Source organism: Homo sapiens, chromosome 5 (genome assembly GCF_000001405.40).
Source record: "Homo sapiens chromosome 5, GRCh38.p14 Primary Assembly".
Classification (NCBI taxonomy): domain Eukaryota; kingdom Metazoa; phylum Chordata; class Mammalia; order Primates; family Hominidae; genus Homo; species Homo sapiens.
In genome coordinates, this window is record NC_000005.10 from 6,745,583 (window position 1) to 6,766,287 (window position 20,705).

At 47.4% G+C, this 20,705-nt stretch overlaps 1 protein-coding gene and 1 long non-coding RNA gene across 9 annotated transcripts in view, besides 1 other annotated feature; both read left to right on the forward strand.

Annotated features, from left to right (window-relative positions):
• The window catches only part of TENT4A (terminal nucleotidyltransferase 4A), a 43,613-nt gene extending 32,151 nt beyond the window's left edge, over positions 1 to 11,462 (forward strand). For 6 of the 8 annotated variants that reach the window (NM_006999.6, XM_047416667.1, XM_047416666.1 and 3 more), the window contains 7 exons: positions 632 to 845; positions 2,882 to 3,008; positions 3,975 to 4,075; positions 4,749 to 4,921; positions 5,457 to 5,615; positions 7,291 to 7,455; positions 9,169 to 11,462. In NM_006999.6, coding sequence (NP_008930.2) covers positions 632 to 845; positions 2,882 to 3,008; positions 3,975 to 4,075; positions 4,749 to 4,921; positions 5,457 to 5,615; positions 7,291 to 7,455; positions 9,169 to 9,363 — 1,134 coding nt within the window. In that variant the 3' untranslated portion in view covers positions 9,364 to 11,462. The remainder of the gene's footprint in view (positions 1 to 631; positions 846 to 2,881; positions 3,009 to 3,974; positions 4,076 to 4,748; positions 4,922 to 5,456; positions 5,616 to 7,290; positions 7,456 to 9,168) is intronic. The other 2 variants (NM_001171805.3, XM_047416668.1) reach the window with 1 other exon arrangement.
• An 890-nt stretch (positions 11,463 to 12,352) lies between these two features.
• Positions 12,353 to 19,479, forward strand: LOC107986401 (uncharacterized). Its single transcript, XR_007058681.1, has 2 exons — positions 12,353 to 13,477; positions 15,638 to 19,479. It is a non-coding gene; the product is annotated as an uncharacterized LOC107986401 (long non-coding RNA).
• Positions 20,134 to 20,428: an enhancer, noted in NCBI's record as "tiled region #14782; HepG2 Activating non-DNase unmatched - State 12:CtcfO". NCBI's record gives its function as "activates a minimal TATA promoter and a strong SV40 promoter by Sharpr-MPRA in HepG2 cells {active_cell/tissue: HepG2}" and the evidence as "EXISTENCE:reporter gene assay evidence [ECO:0000049][PMID:27701403]".

Genomic DNA, 20,705 nt, shown 5'->3' on the forward strand with positions numbered 1-20,705 from the left:
AATTATGACCCTCAGGAGGTGTGGTGGACAGTGGTTTACTTCCGAACAAGCCCAGTGCCTGCTTTTGAAGACGATATGGCACTGAACTGAGAGTGGTGCTCATCTGTGTGACAAGCAGGATGGAAGCTTGCTATAAATATTGTGATATAATGCTAATGACCTTTACACAGCTAAAATCAATCCTTTCACTTTTCCGGTTTTATGTGATACTGCCATACTAGTCAGTCTAACACTGACCCCTGTTGGTTGTGCTTCAGCATAACGAAATTAGGATGACGAGAATCTGAAATTACATCTACCATCCAGGTGACTAAGTTATGCAGAATATAGTCCAACTTATTTGCCCATATTTGGTTAATCAGATATCTGTGTTTGCAGGAAGTTTGCTGTATGGATTACCAATTTCAAAAATCAAACTACACTAAAATTCAGATGAGTCCGTTGTGTTCCTTTTGAACACTCCTCGTTGAAGAGGCTGCTGTTCAGGCTTCCTCGTGGTGCTGGTGAGTGAGCGAGTGCCACTCACTGGTATTGCCTTGAAGAGGCTGCTGGACAGCAGACTTCGTCGCGTGCTATTTTCTTTAGAACATGCCATGAATCCATACAAATTGTGGGTGCATTGCTTTTACAGTTGCATCCAAGAATTGATGCCCGGAGAGCTGATGAAAACCTTGGAATGCTTCTTGTAGAATTTTTTGAACTCTATGGGAGAAATTTTAATTACTTGAAAACCGGTATTAGAATCAAAGAAGGAGGTGCCTATATCGCCAAAGAGGAGATCATGAAAGCCATGACCAGCGGGTACAGACCGTCGATGCTGTGCATTGAGGACCCCCTGCTGCCAGGTAAGGGCGCCCTGATCTCCACTGCTGAGAGCTGGGCCAGCCTCGGGGACGTGCTGGTGACAGGGCCTGTGTTGGGGCTCTGAGAGCCCCGGGCAGTTCATTTGCTCTTGATGCAGGTTTCTCTTATACTAACCAGTTAATAATCACACTTTGAGAAATCCTTATTTAATGCTTCTAATTAACTTTTGTCTTTCTAACTGTTTACATTCTATAATAAAGAAGAATTAAGGAAAATCTTTTCTTTTTCTGATTATTGAAGTATAACATATCCACCCTAAACCATTTGTTTCTCTGAAGTATGTAATATAGAAAAACCATGGATGCCATAATCCCCTTTTATTTGGACATGTATTTCTCCACTTTTTCCCTATATGGATATTAATGTTTATTATTGTTATCTTGTTGAACACATCCCACAACGCAAACACGTTTGTCACTTGGCTTTTGACTTAACGCTTACCCTTGACCCTTTCCTATGTGTGTAGGTTGTGTTTTGTCGTGAGGATTGCCGCATTGAAGAGTCTAAGGCTGGGCTAGAGGTTTCCCGGTTTTATTCCCATTGGCGTATTCAGGGGTATTTATGTCCTCATTCCTTTGGTGACAGTCTTTTAAAATCTTTGCCAATCTGATAAAACCATGTGTTAACGCTTTTAAATTTATATTTCTTTAATGATTAGTGGGGTTAAACACATTGCTATTTATGAATTCCACAAATTTTGATTGAGCGTCTGTTAGGTGAGATACCATTCTTACTGTTGGTGATAAAATCGTTGGCGGACGGGTGACAGAACAGGTGGTGGAGAGCCCAGCTCCAGGCGCGTGTCCCTGGGCCTTCTCCTCTGTGTGGCTCTGTGTGCTGTCCGCCCGGTTGCTGGCTGCCCTCCTCTGCTGTGTGCAAGGCCTGTGTGTGTCGGGGAAGCCTTTCTTGTCACACATGTCATACTTTTTCCAATTTGTTTTTTGCATTTGTATTTTTTTATTCAGCTCCTATACATTTAAAAAAACACCTCAGATTTAATGGTTGTTTTTGTTTTATGGCTTCTGGGATGTGAGCTTTATTTATTTCCTAAAGATCGTCTCAAGGAAAACACATTGGCTGATGTGTTTTGTTGTTGTTTATAGATGGCATGATTTGTGCAGGCTCTTGAGTGGTTTTCTTGGTAGCACGGTATGGCAGTGTATCATCCATTTTTGTCCGTTGGATGAGTCACATTGGAGACATTGGCATTGTCTTCAAGTGTCTGCTGAAATGTACTCAAAAAACAAAGACCCACATAATCGTTGAGTTATAATATAAATCTAGAAAAGATAAAACTCCAGTACTTAGAACATATATCCTTTAAAAGAAATCCACACTTAACCTGATTGTGAAGAATGAGTTGTTTGTAGATTAAAATTAGAAACAGTGCTTTTCTTATGAAAATTAAGCTTCTCCTGACTGGCTTCCTTGGTGACTGCTGTGACAGATTCCTTTGATTTGCTGTCCCAGTTTTCCACACGTGAGAATTCACATTCCATTCTAAAGGATTTACTTCCTGTAGGTTCCATTAGCGTTGACTGAGTTGTGATGCACTTGGGGTGAGCTGCCCTTCTACCTGCCCTGTTGGGGCACTGTGAGGCCTCCTGATTGTCAGATCAGCGATCACAGTGGGTCGGTGCTGCTGGTCTGCACAATGGTAGTCTTTGGCTTCCTCATGTTTCTGCCACCTGGAGAGGTGGCTTTTTGTGGGCTGTCACTCCGTCTGTGAATGGCAGCCGCCTCCGTGAGGTGGGCCATGAGCACAGGGGCACTGATGATGCAGACCAGTCCTCTCGGCACTCACAGACTGTGCCCTGTGCATGGTGATTGACAGGGCCTTTGCCAGTGCCAAGTGCCACCCGTGCCCATTGTGTTCGCCTGTCTGGGCTTTGCTGGTAGGGTCTGGAAGAGTTTCAGTGGTGAGGGCCTGCTTCAGAGTCACTTGTATGAGAAGATCCAAAACATGTGGACGATGGTGTGCATGTGGGGAGGGTCTGACATAGCCTTTTTGCTGCAGGGAATGACGTTGGCCGGAGCTCCTATGGCGCCATGCAGGTGAAGCAGGTCTTCGATTATGCCTACATAGTGCTCAGCCATGCTGTGTCACCGCTGGCCAGGTCCTATCCAAACAGAGACGCCGAAAGGTAATGGGTTGTGTGTCTGCGTCTGGGCTCAGCGTGCCTGTGGGATGGTACTTATCCCTTTCCTGTGTCATTTACCTCCATGAAATTTATGAAGGGATGTTCTGCCGTATTTCAGTAGAATCTAGATATGTTGGTGAAGGAAGGCCTTCTAGGAATATGGGATGGCTGTGTGGGATTCATCCATGGTTGAGAGTTGAAAATTTCTTTCTTGGAGATTTGACATTTTCTTCAGGGTCTTTTGTTTTGGGGAGGTGATTTCTGGCTTTTAAAATTCAGTCCCTACCATCTTCTCTTATGTACACTCGTCCCTTGTTCTACATTTTGGGGCATTTTTACAGTCCCAAAATGTAGTCAGAAGTATTTACTTCTCACCCAGATCATTCTGTGGTAGTGGAAAGGGTGGTATTTGAAGGGGTGGGAGATGAGATAGGAATGGGAAGGAAGAGTAACGTGGTCGTCAAGAGTGGAATTCGAAACAGTTTGATAGATCTGTTCTGTGGTGGATGATGGAATAAACAGGTTTCGAGGCCTGGCTCAGCAGCCGCTGCAGGTGCTGGTGGTGCTGGAGCTCTGTGTGTTCCTGAGCCGCTGTCTGCTCGGTGTTTTCAGGCGGAGCTCTGGGCCCCATGTAGGGCACTCGTCTCGGTACCGTCTCCATTCTCGTCCGTGCAGTGGGAAGTGAAATGTCAGCACTGTATGATCATCGTGGGTGGGAAGGCCCCGCTCCCCTACTTGGAGCTGCATTTCACAGTGGTCTTCTGTAGGTAGATGTACTGCGATCCCAGGGTATGCTTGAGCTGAATCATTAAAAGTCAGAGATATTTGTCAACGTATTTTAGCTCCTTTCCTACTGTCCTTCACCTAGCGAGATGATCTGTTAGGGGTATAAGGTAGCTGTTCGAGAGGGGTTCTCAGCTCCCTGACACCTGTTGTACTCTGTTGATCTCCAACAATGTCCCTTTGCAGTACTTTAGGAAGAATCATCAAAGTAACTCAGGAGGTGATTGACTACCGGAGGTGGATCAAAGAGAAGTGGGGCAGCAAAGCCCACCCGTCGCCAGGCATGGGTGAGAGATTAATTCATTTGTGTTCATCCTAACCACTGGCTGGCATGTTCATGCAGAAGTGTCTCTATTCCTTTGTGGTAAATTGGTCAAATTAAGAAAATAGCTAGTTTTTCTGATGAGCATTAATTAAGAAGACAATAAGATCTAGAGCAGCACTGTCCAGTAGAAGCAATATAATGCATGCCACACATAGAATTTCAAAGTTTCTAGGCTGTGTCAAATGTGAAAAGAAACAGGTGAAATAATTTTGATAGATTTTATTCCACTCAAGTCAAAATATTAACATTTCAACATGTAATCAACATAAAAATAATTAAGATATTTTATAGCTGTTTCTTGTACTGTCTGAAATCCGGTGTGTATTTATTCGTACTTATAGTACATCCTAATTAGGATGCTAAATTTTCGTAAAAAATACTTGATCTATATTTAGATTTTAGAAAGTTCACAGTTGAAGATGATTTGCATACCCAAGTTATTACAAACATGTTTAATGTTTTCCAACAACTAATTGAATGTAATTTTTAAAATTAAATTAGGCAAAACCTAATGTTGGGTTTGTTAGTCACATTAGCAGCGTTCCCGGCTCAGCAGAGCCCGTGACTGATGCTGCCGGGGCGGCTCCACGCCGCAGTTCTCAGGAGTTATTAACCAAGGCTTTTTCCCTCCACAGACAGCAGGATCAAGATCAAAGAGCGAATAGCCACATGCAATGGGGAGCAGACGCAGAACCGAGAGCCCGAGTCTCCCTATGGCCAGCGCTTGACTTTGTCGCTGTCCAGCCCCCAGCTCCTGTCTTCAGGCTCCTCGGCCTCTTCTGTGTCTTCACTTTCTGGGAGTGACGTTGTAAGTGCCCTCCCCTCCTCCGTGTGTCTGTTGGACAGTTTGTGTCTCTGGTAAATGTCCATAGCCGCGAGCTTAAAATCTCCCCCTTGGTTTTGCTCAGGTTTTGTTTCCTTGTATGTGTGTGGAGGTGGGTGGGGGGCAGCCCCGTGATGTGGGCACCAGGCTTCCTTTCCCCTGCCGTGAACCTTCAGAACCTGTCTGTGCGACTCATGCGGCTGTCGAGGGCAGTAATCCTCTAAATGGTTGAACTACAGTGGACTTCCTTGAGTAGTTTTTAAAAATTTATTTGAAGATTAAAAAAAAAATTAAATCCAAGTATCTCTTCTGTATTTCCTTTAACATTCTTTTTCAGTTGTGATGAAATTACTTGAAGGAAGCCTGGGTAGGTTTGGGCTGCCTGTTCAGAAGTTAGACTTAATTTGAATAACCTTTCATAGCCAGCCTGGATGCAGGCGTTTCTTTTCATAGCTTTAAGGAAGTAGTAGTGCACCTTTGTGGTACAGCTGTCCTTTTTGTTTTTTGTACCGGGTTCAAGGATTCAGACACACCGCCCTGCACAACGCCCAGTGTTTACCAGTTCAGTCTGCAAGCGCCAGCTCCTCTCATGGCCGGCTTACCCACCGCCTTGCCAATGCCCAGTGGCAAACCTCAGCCCACCACTTCCAGAACACTGATCATGACAACCAACAATCAGGTACGTGGCCCTCTGGCACCCTTCCCGCTGGTGGCCCCTGGGAACAGCATCCGAGCTGTGATATGCACTAGAGGAGATTGATGGTCCTTTGAATTAGAAGAGTAACTTTTTGAGTATTTGGCCATTGGTGTGTTGTTCTAGGAAATCCTCTCTTTTTTGTGGTGTTGAGGTCCCCCATGTATAGTTTCAGCAGCGAGGACACTGTGGTTCTTGAGTGCTGCCGTGGCTTTTCACGGGGGCCAGGTTGACTGCCTTCCTGCAAGTTTCCTCACTGCCCCAGCATGAGACTGCTGTCGAGGGTCATCTTGAGAGAGCGACTCAGTCACGACCCACTTAGCTGGGCGCCAAGCCGTGCCAGACACTTGTCCCTACTTCCTCTCAGAATCTCAATGAAAGTTTTAATGTGAACTTATTAGACTTTTTTCATGTTTGAAATTAGGCATAATTTCTAAGGCTTTTTCTGTTGGAATATACTGTTTTTAAAATTTAGATAAAATTAGAAATCTAAAGGATAATTTTATAAATACTAAATTTTGTATCTACTTGCGATTATACATCACTTGAATATGTGTGGGTATAAAACCCAACATGTTAATTGACTTAAAACCATTTTCTGAAATGTGGGGTATAATTTGAGCATAAAGCTATGTAGGTACATGCAAAAGTGTTTTGACTCATTTCTTGGAGTTTTGCACTCTGCTCTGGGGAAGACATTCTCACAGGATCCACCGTGATTCTGGCGGAGCTTCTGGGATGCTGGCTCTGTAATGACCCACAGAGCTGATGAGCAGAGCCATGGCCCAGCCGGACACCGTAACGTGTCTAATTGCAGCATAAGTGTAAAATTCAGGGGCAATTATTTACACTCTTAAAATGAATTATACCACAGATAAACTTGGTCGCCTTTTTATGGTCATCACAGTGGCCCTGACGTCCTGGCCATGTGTCACAAAGGTGTTTGTTTTAACCACCCACAAGCCTTGGGGCCCTTGAGAGCCCAGTGCGGCTGCTGAGCTACAGAGCCACACTCTGCGGCTGCTTGTGTGGTTCGAGTGTGAAGTCCAGGGACGCTGAGGGTTTATAGGTTTTTATCTAAGAAGACTCTTGGCCACAGTCAATCTCCAGAGGTTGTTGGGGTAAATGCACGGGATGCCAAGATGCAACCAGGTCAGTATTGCAAGTCTGAGAAAAGGGGTTCTCGTTAGCGCACTTCTGCTGCTGACAGTAACGGGTGATGCTGACATAGAAGCAGCCTGGGACCTGGACAGCAGGCAAGGAAGGAACTGCCAGCCGTCCCACGGCCTCTCAGGCCACCAGTTGGGCCAGCCTTGGGCTGTGACCCCTGAGTTCAGCGTGTGAGTAGGGGGTTCACCACGGGGGTGACGGTTGTTCTTCTGATGACTCTAATGTCTTGATCGTTTGATCTTCAATGAGTTTCAAACTTTATGACTTGGATTACTGGGCATACTTTATATGCCAGTTGCTGTTTTAGAATACGAAGTATTTCCAATTCAAAGCACAATATTGTTAGGTAATAGTAAAACAGACTGCTCTATGGAGCCCACATGCAACTGTGCCATTTATCAGCTGCCCTTTGGTGGTGCTGAGCTTAGAAGCCGGATGGTTTTCCTCTGATTGCTTTGGTACCCATGGCCGTCTCTCATTTTGTTCCTAGACCAGGTTTACTATACCTCCACCGACCCTAGGGGTTGCTCCTGTTCCTTGCAGACAAGCTGGTGTAGAAGGAACTGCGTCTTTGAAAGCCGTCCACCACATGTCTTCCCCGGCCATTCCCTCAGCGTCCCCCAACCCGCTCTCGAGCCCTCATCTGTATCATAAGGTATAGCTCTGTCCTGGTGCATTCACCTACCTGTTCAAGCTGCCATGTGAGAGGCGGTGCTAAATGTTTTCTCCTCCAGAGAGAATTCCAGAGAGATCATTTGAAAACGGAATTTGCTTTGTTGTCATTCAGCCTGTTTGCTTGTCTTTCCAAACAAAACTTAAAAAAGTTAAATTATTTTAAGATGTAATATATAGTTTAATTGGTTGCCACAAACATCTCTTAATTCCTCTGTTGAACTGATTAGCATAAAACTGAAGTTTGAAATAAGGCTCAAAATGAAGACTTTTCCCATTTACATAATTCATTTATATGCTAAATACCTTGGTTTTCAAGAAGCAAATGATAAAACCAAGAGCAGATCTTGCCATGATGTCCCGTGTATGCTGCTGTCATTCCCACGTTGCCTGATCCCCGCCTGGGGCAGGAGCAAGCGTCAGGGCTGGCAGAGCTGTGTGCTGGGCCTCAGCAGGGCCCTGGCATGCGTGCCCTTGTGGCTCCTCTCAAGTCCAGCTGTGTGCATGGAGGAAACAGGTCACGTTAAGTCTCTATATTCTTGAAGTACCTGAATGATTGGGAGAGCCATGGCGAGGATCTTCCAGGTCAGCCCCCGTCGTGTGTGATGTTCCTTGGGCTCTGCGGATGCTCGGTGCTTTCATCGGTGTCCACACCTCTTTATTCCGCTCCTCCTTTGCTTGTCTAATCCTATTTTGCCAGTAAGTTTTTTATTCTTGAGGCTTTGTTGGCCCTGTGTTGTATGATGATTGTTTTTAGGAGTTAAGTAATAGAACATTTCCTCTTGGATTTATCCATCCCCGATAGACACATTCAGGGTGAAAGAACAACTTCGCACACCGGCCTCTTCTTTGCATTTTGGCTTTGCTTTCCCAGTCTCCTCCTGCTGTTTTTCTTGCTCTGAGACTTTCCTGAAGCCGGCGTGTGTTCCCTCTCAGTCTGCTTGGCCGCGACTTTGCAGTGCAGGGAATGTGCTTTGGGTGTAGCCCAAGCACAGGCTGCTGCATGCTGGGATCGACAGGCTGCTGAGGGCGAGAGCGCCAGGTCCTGGCACGTGTGACTTGCTTGGTTCTTTCTAGAAGGTCACAGCTGGGGGAAGAACATGACAGGGACCTTCTTACTTCTGTTTTTTTGGAGACAGAATCTCACTCCATCACCCAGGCTGGAGTGCAGTGGTGTGATCTCAGCTCACTGCAACCTCCGCCTCCCGGGTTCAAGCAATTCTTGTGCCTCAGCTTCTTGAGTAGCTGGAATTACAGGTGTGTGCCACCACACCCAGCCAATTTTTGTATTTTTAGTAGAGACGGGGTTTCACCATGTTGGTCAGGCTGGTCTCAAGCTCCTGACCTCAAGTGACATGCCTGCCTCGGCCTCCCAAAGTGGTGGAATTACAGGTGCAAGCCATTGGCACCTGGCTAGGGACCTTCTTATTTCTATGGATAAGTGGAACAAGTTAGAAGTGAGGTTCTGCTGAATTTGTGTGGTTTGATCCTGGTACATGGTTCTTGCCTTTAGTCATTCACGGAATGGGAAGAATGCTTTTCTCTCAGATGGAGGAGTTGGGAAGTCCCAGAGGGCAGGTGTCCATCCCTGCTCTCTATGTAACATCACGTCGGTGCTTAGTGTGGTCACTGCCCGAGGACGTGGGCATTGTGCCTGCTGTCTGGCTCCAACACTGCTGTCTCTCTCTTTCTCCAGCAGCACAACGGCATGAAACTGTCCATGAAGGGCTCTCACGGCCACACCCAAGGCGGCGGCTACAGCTCTGTGGGTAGCGGAGGTGTGCGGCCCCCTGTGGGCAACAGGGGACACCACCAGTATAACCGCACCGGCTGGAGGAGGAAAAAACACACACACACACGGGACAGTCTGCCCGTGAGCCTCAGCAGATAATGGCTCCTGGCTGCGTCAGCCTCCCCCACCCCTCTGCAGACTGCCCCGCGGCCTCGGCCACCGGCAGGGGAACCGAGACCAGCACCCCGCACGTCAGCCGGGCTCGCGGCACGCCCGCCGCTGATCACTCTGCATGTTTCTTCGTGTGGTGGTCGCGTCCATCTTCAAGAACAGCTCGTTGTGCTCATCTGTGAAGCCTTATTAAACGTGGACGTTGTTTTCTGCCTTCCCAGGATTCTTCCTTCAGTGCTGAGGCAGGTCGGGCTCAGGAACTGCAGGGACGTGAACATGCGCTTGCGGTTTGAGGTAGCCGTGTCTGTTCCTTCGCGGTTTGCTATTTTCATTTCCTGTTCGTCAAAGCAGCAGAGGAGATCAAACCCCGTTCGTGTGTCTTTCCTCCACGGATAAGCTTGGGAGGTCATTGTTTTACTGCCCTCACATTTTGTTTGAAATTTCAGAACTGTTTTTCTATGTAAATATTGAAAACTTATGATTTGTGCAATAACTCAGATATTTTTTATTTAATTTCCTATTTTCACATAAGTTATATTTAAGGGAGGAGGGAATTTTTTTTAAACAAGCTTAGGTCCTTTCCCGAGCTGCATTTTCTAAGTTGGGTCATCGTGTCGGCTGGTTGTCTGACGAGCATCGTTACAAACACCATGATGAGGGGTTTGGGGTTTTATTTTGATGTCTTTTCTTTTGGTCGGAAGTGAGTGAAGGAGCCAGGTCGCCCTGAAGGTTTTCCAAAGGGCTTGGCTCCAGAGCCACCTGGCAGACTGCCCGTGGCCCTGCTGTCGGGCCCCAGGCCGTTGTCCTGCTCTGACCACAGAGTTTTAATGTTTTGGTTTTCACTTCTTTTAAACTGGACAACAAATCCAGCATTTCAAGTGCCAGAAGTATAACTTTCTAAGGAGAGAAGGGTTGTCACATTATAAAATCTTTAGGAAAATGTGAACTGGAAAACGCTTCGGTCAGTTTTAGTGACATAGCCTGTGATGATGGGTCTGGTGACTATTATTGCGGACCGTGGTACCCAGTTTTAGGAATGTGGAGAAAGGAATTCTGTTGATTCCGTTGAGGAATCTGTAGCGTATGCATTCGTTCTGTTAAGAGCAAATCTAGGAGAAGTGCTTCAGCTGCCCAGTGCGCCGTGGGGAGTGTTTTAACGGATCGTGTCGCAGGAGAGCACAGCCCAGCGTTGGGGCCGGGACCGCTGGCGCCCGACGTCGGAAGCATACAGGTATACTATGCAAGTGTATTCTGCCACAACAACCACTGTCTTTGTTACCTTTTTTTGAACAAGAATATATCCATCCTGCCTAACCCTGAGTTTTTGGAGCACCACAGTTGTCCTGGGAGTTGGTTGCATCTTGTAGGCCATCTGACTTCCTGTTTTTAAAACGGGGGTCTGGTCTTGCTAAACACTACAGGTAGGTTGGTCTTTGAAGTCCACTAGTGGAGAATGTCAAGACAAGATACTTATTACCATGACATCTGATGCATGTGCAGCAGTGGGGAGTTCTAGATTGATCTCTGAATGTGATCGACGCCCAGCAAGGACAAGCTTTAAAATGTCTGCGGTCTGCCCTTTTGAAGCAGGACTGGCTCACTCTGTCATTGGGAGCTGTCAGCTGCGACTGCAGGTTCTCTAGGAGGCATTCCAGAATAGAGTAGCACACTGTGTCTGCAGTTCTCGATGACCGAAAGTTATCAAAAATATTTAAAATATTTAAATTGTGAACCTATTGATAAAGAATATTTATAAAAACTGATCTGTAGGCCTGTACTAATCTCTACGCATTAGCAATATTGACTGTAAACCCACATTAAGGAAACCACTACGGGTCTGGCAGTGCGTGTCCCGTGGGGTGTGCATTTTAAAACTCGATTCATAGACACAGGTACCATGTTCCATTTCCGTCATGGTGAAGCAAATGAATTGGCCTGGCTACCACTGTGGTCGCGTGCTACAGGTTTGACAAAAAGATATCATGTTTCGATTTTTTTGTGTGTGGACAACAATATGGAAGCTAAAATTGACATATTTTTATGTAAAGTTTTTCTATTCTTTGATTTTTAATAAACTTTGGAAACCAGTTTTGTGTTTGTGTCCAAGTGTATGCTTTCAAGGGCAAGAGTGGCTTCTACATTTTCCGTATTGAATTTCTAAATTAGGGCAGTGCTTTAGCCATTTATTCTAAATAAGATTCAAGAGAAGGCAGATGATTCCAGTCCTATAAAGCAAGTTGCAGCAGGGAGATTATGTTGTCACTGGTCCATTGAAGTAGGAGGAGGTAAAAATACAAAAATTAGCCGGGTGTGGTGGCTCACACCTATAATCCTAGCTATTCGGGAGGGTGAGGCGTGAGAATTGCTCAAACCCGGGAGGCAGAGGTTGCAGTGAGCTGAGACCGTGCTACTGCACTCCAGCCTGAGCAACAGAGCAAGACCCTGTCTCAAAAACAAACAAAAAAAAGTGGGTGGAGGTTCTAGACTTTGCATAAGGCCTATGTAACAGTAACAGAAACCTGTCCTCTGTCCTCACATTCTGATGCTAACAGGAATTCAGTAAAACTGTTTAAATGATTCTTATATGAAGTTTCTGGTAAGCTGCTATGTGATACTATGTACTTAGACCGCCCAGGGGCAACATTTTAGTTTCTTCATTTCTTTTAGGTCAGCATTGCGTCACTTGCAAACAAGACATTACAAACCAAACAATCATAATGTGGCTTAAAATTTAACTGACGTTTGGGATTTATTTATTTATTTATTTTGAGACAGAGTCTTGCTCTGTTGCCCAGGCTGGAGTATAGTGGCACAATCTTGTCTCACTGCAGGCTCTGCCTCCCAGGTTCAAGCGATTCTCCTGCCTCAGCCTGCCGAGTAGCTGGGATTAGAGGTACCCACCCCATGCCCGGCTGATTTTTGTATTTTTAGTAGAGGTGGGGTGTCACCATGTCGGCCAGGCTGGTCTCGAACTCCTGACTTCAGGTGATCTGCCCACCTTTGCCTCCCAAAGTGCTGGAATTACAGGCGTGAGCCACCGTGCCCTGCCGACGTTTGGAATTTATGAGGAAAGGTACAAGAATTCTTCTAGGCCAGTAAGTGACAGAACTGCATGTCCCAGCCTGTGCAGCCCCTTGAGTGCATGTTCTAGAGCCATCAGCTCTAGAGTCCTTCCGGTTGTCAAGGTGGGTGTTGTGGGTAAAACACACATTCCTTCCACCTGGAGAACAGAGCAGCCCTATCCTCATGGCACCTGGTTCCTAAGAGTGTGCAGAAGCCGCTGACAGCACCATATGGTGGTGCTGGGGGGAAGACGACAGGCAGCTGGGTGGGACTCCAAAGCCTCTCCAGGGGCAGAGCCCTGTGCAGCTTCTGCATGAGCTGCGGTGGGCAGGGTGGGGCTGGCAGGAGTTGAGCAGGGCCTCCGAGGGAACTGGAGGGCTTACAGCTAGGGGCATCTGGAGGAGGAACCCAGGACAGTGCTGAGGTGCAGGGCACTGGAGGCAGGAGACGTGGCTGAGTTAGCCTCTGTGTTGGAGGCAGGACTGATGGGTATCCGGGGGGAGGCACTCTTGACCTGCCCTGGATTTCCCTGTGAGTTGTGATGCTTCCTACTCAGCTACTGATACCTGCAGGAGAGCTGCCTTTAGGAGGCTTCCAGGAGCAGCCTCTGGAGCAGCTGTGTTACCAGGGAGCCTGAGGCCCCACAGAGGCACCTGAGGTGTCAAATGGGTCCCGCTCTCCTCGGAAGCTGGGAGTACTGGAAGGTAAGGGCTTTCTGAGGGCACAGTGAACCTGTCCAGGCCACTACGTGAACATCAGCAAGCCCACCATGTAGTCTCGGGACCCCATGCGCTGGATCTCGTGGTAACAGGTAACCCCCTCGTGACCAGCTTCCGTGTGTTCCTTTTGATTTGCCCAGGGTCTCGAGTGCCACCTCTCTACCCTGTGAGATACGCAGAGGACCCTGTAAATGCCGTGCCCCGCATGCCTCGGCCTGGGCGTGAGCCGTACGCGGGGGAGGTGGTGACGTTTGTAATCCAGACGTCGTTTCGTTGCGACTGGGTCACCTGTGATGCCCTAAGCCCTGAGAACTTTTCAGGTGTGTGTCATTATCCTCCTGCTGTTGATAACTTTTGAGGTTCTTGCCAATCCTTAGGTGACTTTGACTACCTTTGGTCAAAGGTAACTGCCTAGAATGGACAGTGGCTCCCGTTCAACAGACACACATCCCAGACACCACGCTGGGGGCTACGCCTGTTGTTTAAGAATGGCCGGAAAATATGTTGCCTGCATTGTGTCTCCAGGACCCGTGTGGGAGGGTTAACTTGGGAGGGGCGGGGTCCCACTAGCCCTAGATTGCAAGGGTAAACTGCCTGGTGTCCTTCATGGTGAGTCTTACTCCATGACTTGATCCTAGAGAAGGACCAGCTAAGGACTTCAGAGGTCTTGGAGTGAGTTCCAGGCAAGGGCAAGAAACCAAGGCTTTTCATGGGGTTCTTAGGTAAAGGACGGGGGTATGGACCAGTCACACTGGGAGGTTGAGTCCTGTCTCCTGGGAAGCCACGTGGCTGTGGGGTGAGCTTGCCCAGGGTTCCTTCCCGCCAGTGTGGATATGGCGCCCTCTGCCCAGGCCTCTGAGACGGAACGCTTGGAGCTCGGCCAATGCTTAGGTCATCATAGGTGCCGTGGGGTCAGTCACACTTGGTTGAGAGGTATGTGACTCGAGGCAGATTCCTGTCATTCCTGCTTGTATTTCATCAAGTCCTGAGTGAGGTTTGTGGGAATGGGTGCAGGTGGCTATGGCCAAATCCAGGTCTCAACAGACAGCAAACCTCCACACATCCTGCCATGTCACTGTTGGAATTTTCAAGCTGGGTGGAATCTTAAGGACCAGCTAGAGCAGCTCAGCCCCGAAAATGAGAAAGTGAAGTCCTGTGACGTGACGGGCTTCTAAAGGTCACGTGGCACATCCGCCAGGCCCCCGAGAGGGCGCTGGGTCTCGCTCCCACACCACTGCTCTTTGTAAAGTCCTGTGGCCCCTTTTTGTTGTCTGACAACATCTAGAGAAATTGCTGTGAGTTTAGGTGGAACACTGGTGCTTACATTATGATTGAGCCCCACCAGGTTCTGAAGATGTGTCTTGTGCCTGTGGCTCACGTCATGGGGAGCCTTTCAGGGACACAGTGGCATCACCAGCCAGGCCCTGTGTGTTGAAATGGTTATGGTGGAACTACGTGGGCTCATGAAACGTGAGAGGCTTCCTGTTGGACTTTTTGTGGCCAGTGTTTATAGGATCCTGCCAGCAGAGAGCCTGGGCCTAGGGCCCAAAGGCTGGAGTTAGGAGCTGGGGTGCGCAGAGCCCTGGAAGGGTTTGGCAGGCCAGGGGAGAAGGGAGTAACAGTCTCGCTCTGTGCTTCAGGCTTTTCCTTGCTGGTTCAAGTGTCCGCTAAAAGCAGCTAACGTAATCAGTACAGCTCCTCTATTTTGGGAAATCAAACCCCAAATCTTTAATTTGATTTACAAAGCTTTCCAGGATATTGCCTTTGCCTCCCTTTCCAATCGTGCCACTCGGGAGTTATTTCTGTTAGAAAATAGATATTTCCCTCTCAGTGTCCCCAAATGTGAAAGAAAAGTCATTGTCATCAGTAGTCTTGGGTAGAAGAGAGGGCAGCCGTCACTGGAAGGGGACCAGTGAGCAGGCTGTTCACAGAGCAAAAGGGAGGGTGGATCTCCATGGACAGTCACCGGCTTCAAGTCTTGCTTCTGCTGCTTCCTGGCTGTGTGTCCTTGGGCACGTCACTTGACTCCTGTGCTCCAGTTTCCTCATCTTCCCAATGGGCCGTTGTACAGACTAAACGAGTAAATGAACATGAAGCACCTGGAGCCATGCCAGGCCCGATGTGAGCACTTGGGCCGCATGGACTCATGTTATTAGACCTGGTAGGCCCGGCGCAGGGAACCAAGCCTGTCAATTTAAAGGGGAGTGGCGGGAGGAACTCATTTTTAATGACAGGCAAAAAGGGAAAATATTGTAATACATGGCTTCCTATTTTCCTTTCCCCTTTTTCTTGCCTTTGAATTTATAATGTTGCTTATTTGGTATTTAAGATTCTTGCTCTGGAGCTTTGAACATTTTGAAAGAAAAAGTGTCGTTTAATAAATGCTGTCATTTGACATTCTGGTTACTATTTTAGGGCAGCATGGTAGGTAGACACTGCTAGTTACTTACCCAATATCTATTTTCCTTTTTTTCTTCCAGGATTGCCAGATTTAGAAAATGAAAACGCAAAACTCCAAGTTAAATTTGAATTTAAGTAGACAATGAATACTTTTTTGGTATGTGTTCCAAATATTGCATGGGCAATTTAACTGGGTGTCCTGTATTTTATCTGGCTCAACTTTGTTTAGACAGCAGGGTGCACAGCTGAAAAGATAACTTTTATAACATCTTTGCAGCTAGGGGTGGTCACAACAGAGTGCTTTCCTTTGGAATGAAACTTTTCTAGGAGCAAGTACTTTGCTTCCCTCCTTGGATTCTGGCTGGAATTCAAATGCAATGCCTGGTGACACAGCAGCCATGTTGTAACCATGAAGTGGCTAGCTGTGTAGTAAGGCTGACAGAGCAGGAAGCCAGAAAGGACCCAGAGTCCTGAGGCTTTGGTCCTTCTTTCTATGTTCATATATAACATTTGCATGAAGAAGACACCCACATCTGTTTATGCCACTGATATTCAGGGCTCTCAGCTGAATACAGTTTTAACTGATATATACAGGAAACACATACTTCAAACAAAATCTCATGTGAAACTCCATATGGGTTGAAGTTCTGGTTAAAGCAGTCTGGTAGGGAGGAAAAAGGGGACATAGCTTCATTGCTTGAATGTCTGTTCCACTCCTTCTCCCTTCTCCCGGATTTTGGGGGATGCCCTGTGGAGCCCCTCACTTTCCATGGAACACATCTTTAAGCCAGGAAACCACCAACTCTTCCCCACTCTTAGTTGCATTTTTCTCAACTCTTTAGGACAGGGGTTGAGGAGGGTGTCCTGCGGATTGCACAAATGCCTGCTGGACTGATCAGAGCCCTGGATCCTATACCTGGAGTTGGGAGCTTCCCCCAGGGCCCTGCAGCTCCCACCCTGGTTGCTGTGCACCGCGGAATGGGCCCGTCAGGAAACAGGAAGGCAGCCTGCTCCACTCAGGTCATTTGTCTGCCTCCTAATCCAGCTAAGGCACAGGCTGGAGACCTCAGTTAGGGAAGTCCCTTCCCTGCCCCCTTGGGAACACTGGCCCCACCTGGGTGCTGGTTTCACCACTTTGTTACCAAAGTCTGTCACAGACAGGCATTGGGTGAACTTACAGCTCAGCCTGCAGACGTAGCCCCAGGGCAGCATGGCTGGACTGAGCTGTGCACAGACGCCTGCTGCGTGCTGTGCCTCCCCTGCGGGTGGAAGTCTTGGCCCCTGGACCCGGCATTCGAGGCCTTCCGAGACATTCTGCCCTTGGAATGCTTGCCTCTCAATTGATCTGTCCTGAGTGGCTTGTTATTATTTTTTAATATTCAATCGGTCATGTATCAGTAGTTATGCAAAATGTGGCAAAAATGAATGACTGAAGAAAAATGAAATGGAAAAAGAAAAAATCTGAAAATACACAAAAGCGCACACTGTTTTGCCATTGGATTCAACAGACCTGAAACTATCCTTGCAGGAGCCCCTCGGTGCCCACCTGTAGGCCACGCTCACCAGCTGCACCAGAGCTGTGCTTCCAGCACCCAAAAGCTCCCTCCCTGAGCTGCACCCAGGCCTGCTCCCCACTCTCCTCACCAGCTGCACCCGTATCTCCCACGGCCCACCCAGGGTACTATCGATCCTTTAGTCCTCTTCTGCCAGTGTACCCCATGGCCCGGGACAACCCCTAGTATGCAATGGCTCTTTCTTGTGGGCAATGCATGGAGGCACACATCAGGGCCCTGCTTTTAAGAAGGAAGTACTGAGACCTGGGTGCCGCCTCTTCTAGGAGCCATGGATGCCGGGGCTTACCCCCAGAGACTGTGAATTGAATGGTTAGGAGGGAGCCTGCACACACCGGAGAGCTCTGAGCACCAGGCGAGTCTCCCATGTGGCCAGGTTGGGAGCCATCGCTGTTCATGTGGCCAGGGCTGCCTTGCCAGAGGAACTCATCTTACTTTGCCACCATGAAAATGTAACTGTTTATCATGTCATGACCTCCCTTGCTACAGTCGCTCTCGTCTTTTGTGTTCTATTTAATTTTTTAAAATGCTGGTGGCCCAGTCACTAAATTTTTTTTTTTTTTTTACCACCACTCATGGGCAGGACCTGTTACGTGAGACATGCACCAAAGCACGGAGAGGGACAGCCACGATCCTGCCCGGAACGGGTCTTCAGAACTGGGCAGAGCATGGCTCCTTTTGATGGGGGCCCCAGAACTCCTTTTCAAAGGCAATGGCAGGACGGGATCCACAGTGGGTGGCCCTTTGATAAGGAGGCATCCTCCAGCCAGAGTTGACACCACGTGGACAAGGTCTCAATGCTGCTTAACACTGTTTTGGGTGCAGAACAAAGAGCGGTTGGAACATTTCTCGTCTAGTCTCCCCCTCTGTACGTGTCCTGTGTTTCTAGCTTGTTCAAAGTGGTCAAAGACCCAAGGCTGGTCTGGCACAGAAGGGGTCGTGCCTACATGTAGGGAGGCGCTGACCCTTCTGTCTCCCCTTGTATGTCCCCAGGGACAGGACAGCCCCCTGCCTGTTGTCCCCAGTGTCCTCTGTGAATGGGGACCAGCTGTCTTTCAGGTAACTCCCTCCTCCTCCACCTCTGTCCACTCGCTCCGGTAGCCACCCCTTCCACGTGCAGTACGGCTCTGCATCCCTGAGAGCCTCGATGACTCCTCTCCTCTGCCTCTTCTCTAGTGTTGGGTCCTATATCTGTCAGTTAATTACGTATTCATTATAAGAACATATTTCTCTTGGGTCAATATTTAACTTTTCAAATTTATCTTCTTTACTCAATAAATTGTGACCATGGGTGTCTGTTCCTCGTGGGCTCAACACTGCCAGGCATGTAGAAATTGCTTGATGCAGTTTCACTGGCTTGTGGACAGGCAGTTATGCTTCTCTGTGCTTCTGTGATTCCATGCTAAAGAAAGTCAGTAGCAAGCAAATAGCAGAGCTTTAGTGGGTAAGGACAGTATTTTACCTTGAAAAAGGCAGCAGGAAAGAGAGTTAAGACTCAAGTTTCCTTTATTAAGGAAAATTGAAATCTAGGTACCTACAGATGCTCTTTGACTTATATGATATGGTTAGGTCTCGATAAACCCACTGTAAGTCAAAAATGCTTTTAATACACCTAACCTACCGAATGTCTATGTTACATATGCGTAGAGCACTTATATTTGCATCCAGTTGGGCAAAATCATCTAACACAAGCTGATTTTATTAATATTAAAATTGATGTAATATATGTACATATTTTAGTACATGTGATAGTTTAATATGTTCATATAATTTGTATAGGTCAAATCAGAGTAATCAGGAGATCTATCACCTTAAATATTTCTTTATGCTAAAAACATTGGAATTATTCTATCTATTTTGAAACATACAATAGATTGTTATAAACTTTAGTGTCCCTACTGATCTAGAACTACCATGTGATCCAGAAATCTCACTATTGGGCATATATCCAAAAGAAAAAATTATTGAAGAGACATCTGCACTCCATGTTTTTTGCAGCACTATTGACAAGAGCCAAGATGTGGAATCAATCTAAGTGCCCATCAGTGGATGAATGGATAAAGAAAATGTGGTGTAAATACACAGTGGAACACTCTTCAGCCATTTGAAACACAGATAGAACTGGAGGCCATTATGTTAAGTGAAACAAGCCAAACAGAAAGGTAAATACTGCATGTTCTCGGATGTGGGAGCTGAAGTGGATCTTCTGAAGATAGAGAATGGACTGGTGTTACCAGGGGCTGGGAAGGATTGGGAGTAGGGGGATGAAGAGAGGTTGATTAATGGGTACACAATCTCACATAATGTATTGTATGCTTTACTGAAATAAAAACAGAATGGTTGTATGGGTACTCTAAGTATGGTTTCTCCTAAACACATACGGCTTCCACACCATCATAAAATTGAAAAATCATTAAGTCAAGCACTGTCTAATATAACTTAATACAATGCTAAGGTCCTTCATTTAATTGTAACATAAGTCACTCAAGTGTTGCCATCCTGGATGATTTTCTTGGATTTTTTTTTTTTTTTTTTTTTTTTAAGACAAGGTCTTCTTGCTCTGGAGTGCAGTGGTGTGATCACAGCTCATGGCAGCCTCATACTCGTAGGCTCAAGCAATCTTCTCATCTCAGCCTCCAGAGTAGCTGGGACTACTGGCATGTTCCACCATGCCCAGTTAATTATTATTATTGTTTTTTGTAGAGACGGGGTTTTGCCATGTTGTCCAGGGTAGTCTCGAACTCTTGGGCTCAAGCGATCCTCCCTCCTCAGCCTCCCAAAGTGCCGTGTGCCACCATACCCAGCCCCTCTTTGGTTTTTTAAAAGTGCCTGCTAGCTCATCAGCACAGGAGCAAGGCGACTTGGAGCCACAATGAGACAGATGATTGCCAGTGTTGTTTCATTTCAGTTCTTAAGTTCCTGCATGGGGTGCTTACTGATGAGTCTGTCTCTCCTCTCAGGTAAGCCAGGCCTCCATCCACTCCTGCACAGCAGGGAACGCTGCACGGTGGCCCAGGGTTCGTGGTGGGCACGCCGTACCCCTCACCCCCTCCACGTGGAGTCTGGCTGAGGGCTCCCTCCCGCATGCCAGGCCTGGCATGTCGGTGCAGGCCCTTGCATTTCTGGCTGTGCTGCGCAGTCTCACCCTTGAGAAGAAGGGGGCGCTGTTGCCTCAGCCTTGCAGAGTTTCTCTGTGGTCAAACCACCCTGCCAGCCTCCCTGCTGCAGCCGGCAGCACGTCACTCCATGCGGGAGGGGAGCCCCACCTAAGGTAGGCTGTGAATTAATATTTTTTAAAGCCCCAGGTATTCAGGTTTAAAAAAGGCCCAGGGACATGAGGCTGCAATTTTTTGCTCTATTGAAGAAAAGAAAAATCTGTAGAATTTTAACAGTGACAATGAGGTTGAAGCTACTACAGATGCTGCACCTTGGGGGTCTTGGGGTCCCTCCTGCTCCCCAGGGGAGTCCATCAGTTCCCACAGAGGGTCTGCTAGAATTGCTGAAATCAGACTCGCAGCCACCCAGCAAACCTGCACCAAGTTCTGGGGCCAATTCTGGTGTGGGCAGGGGATTGGTG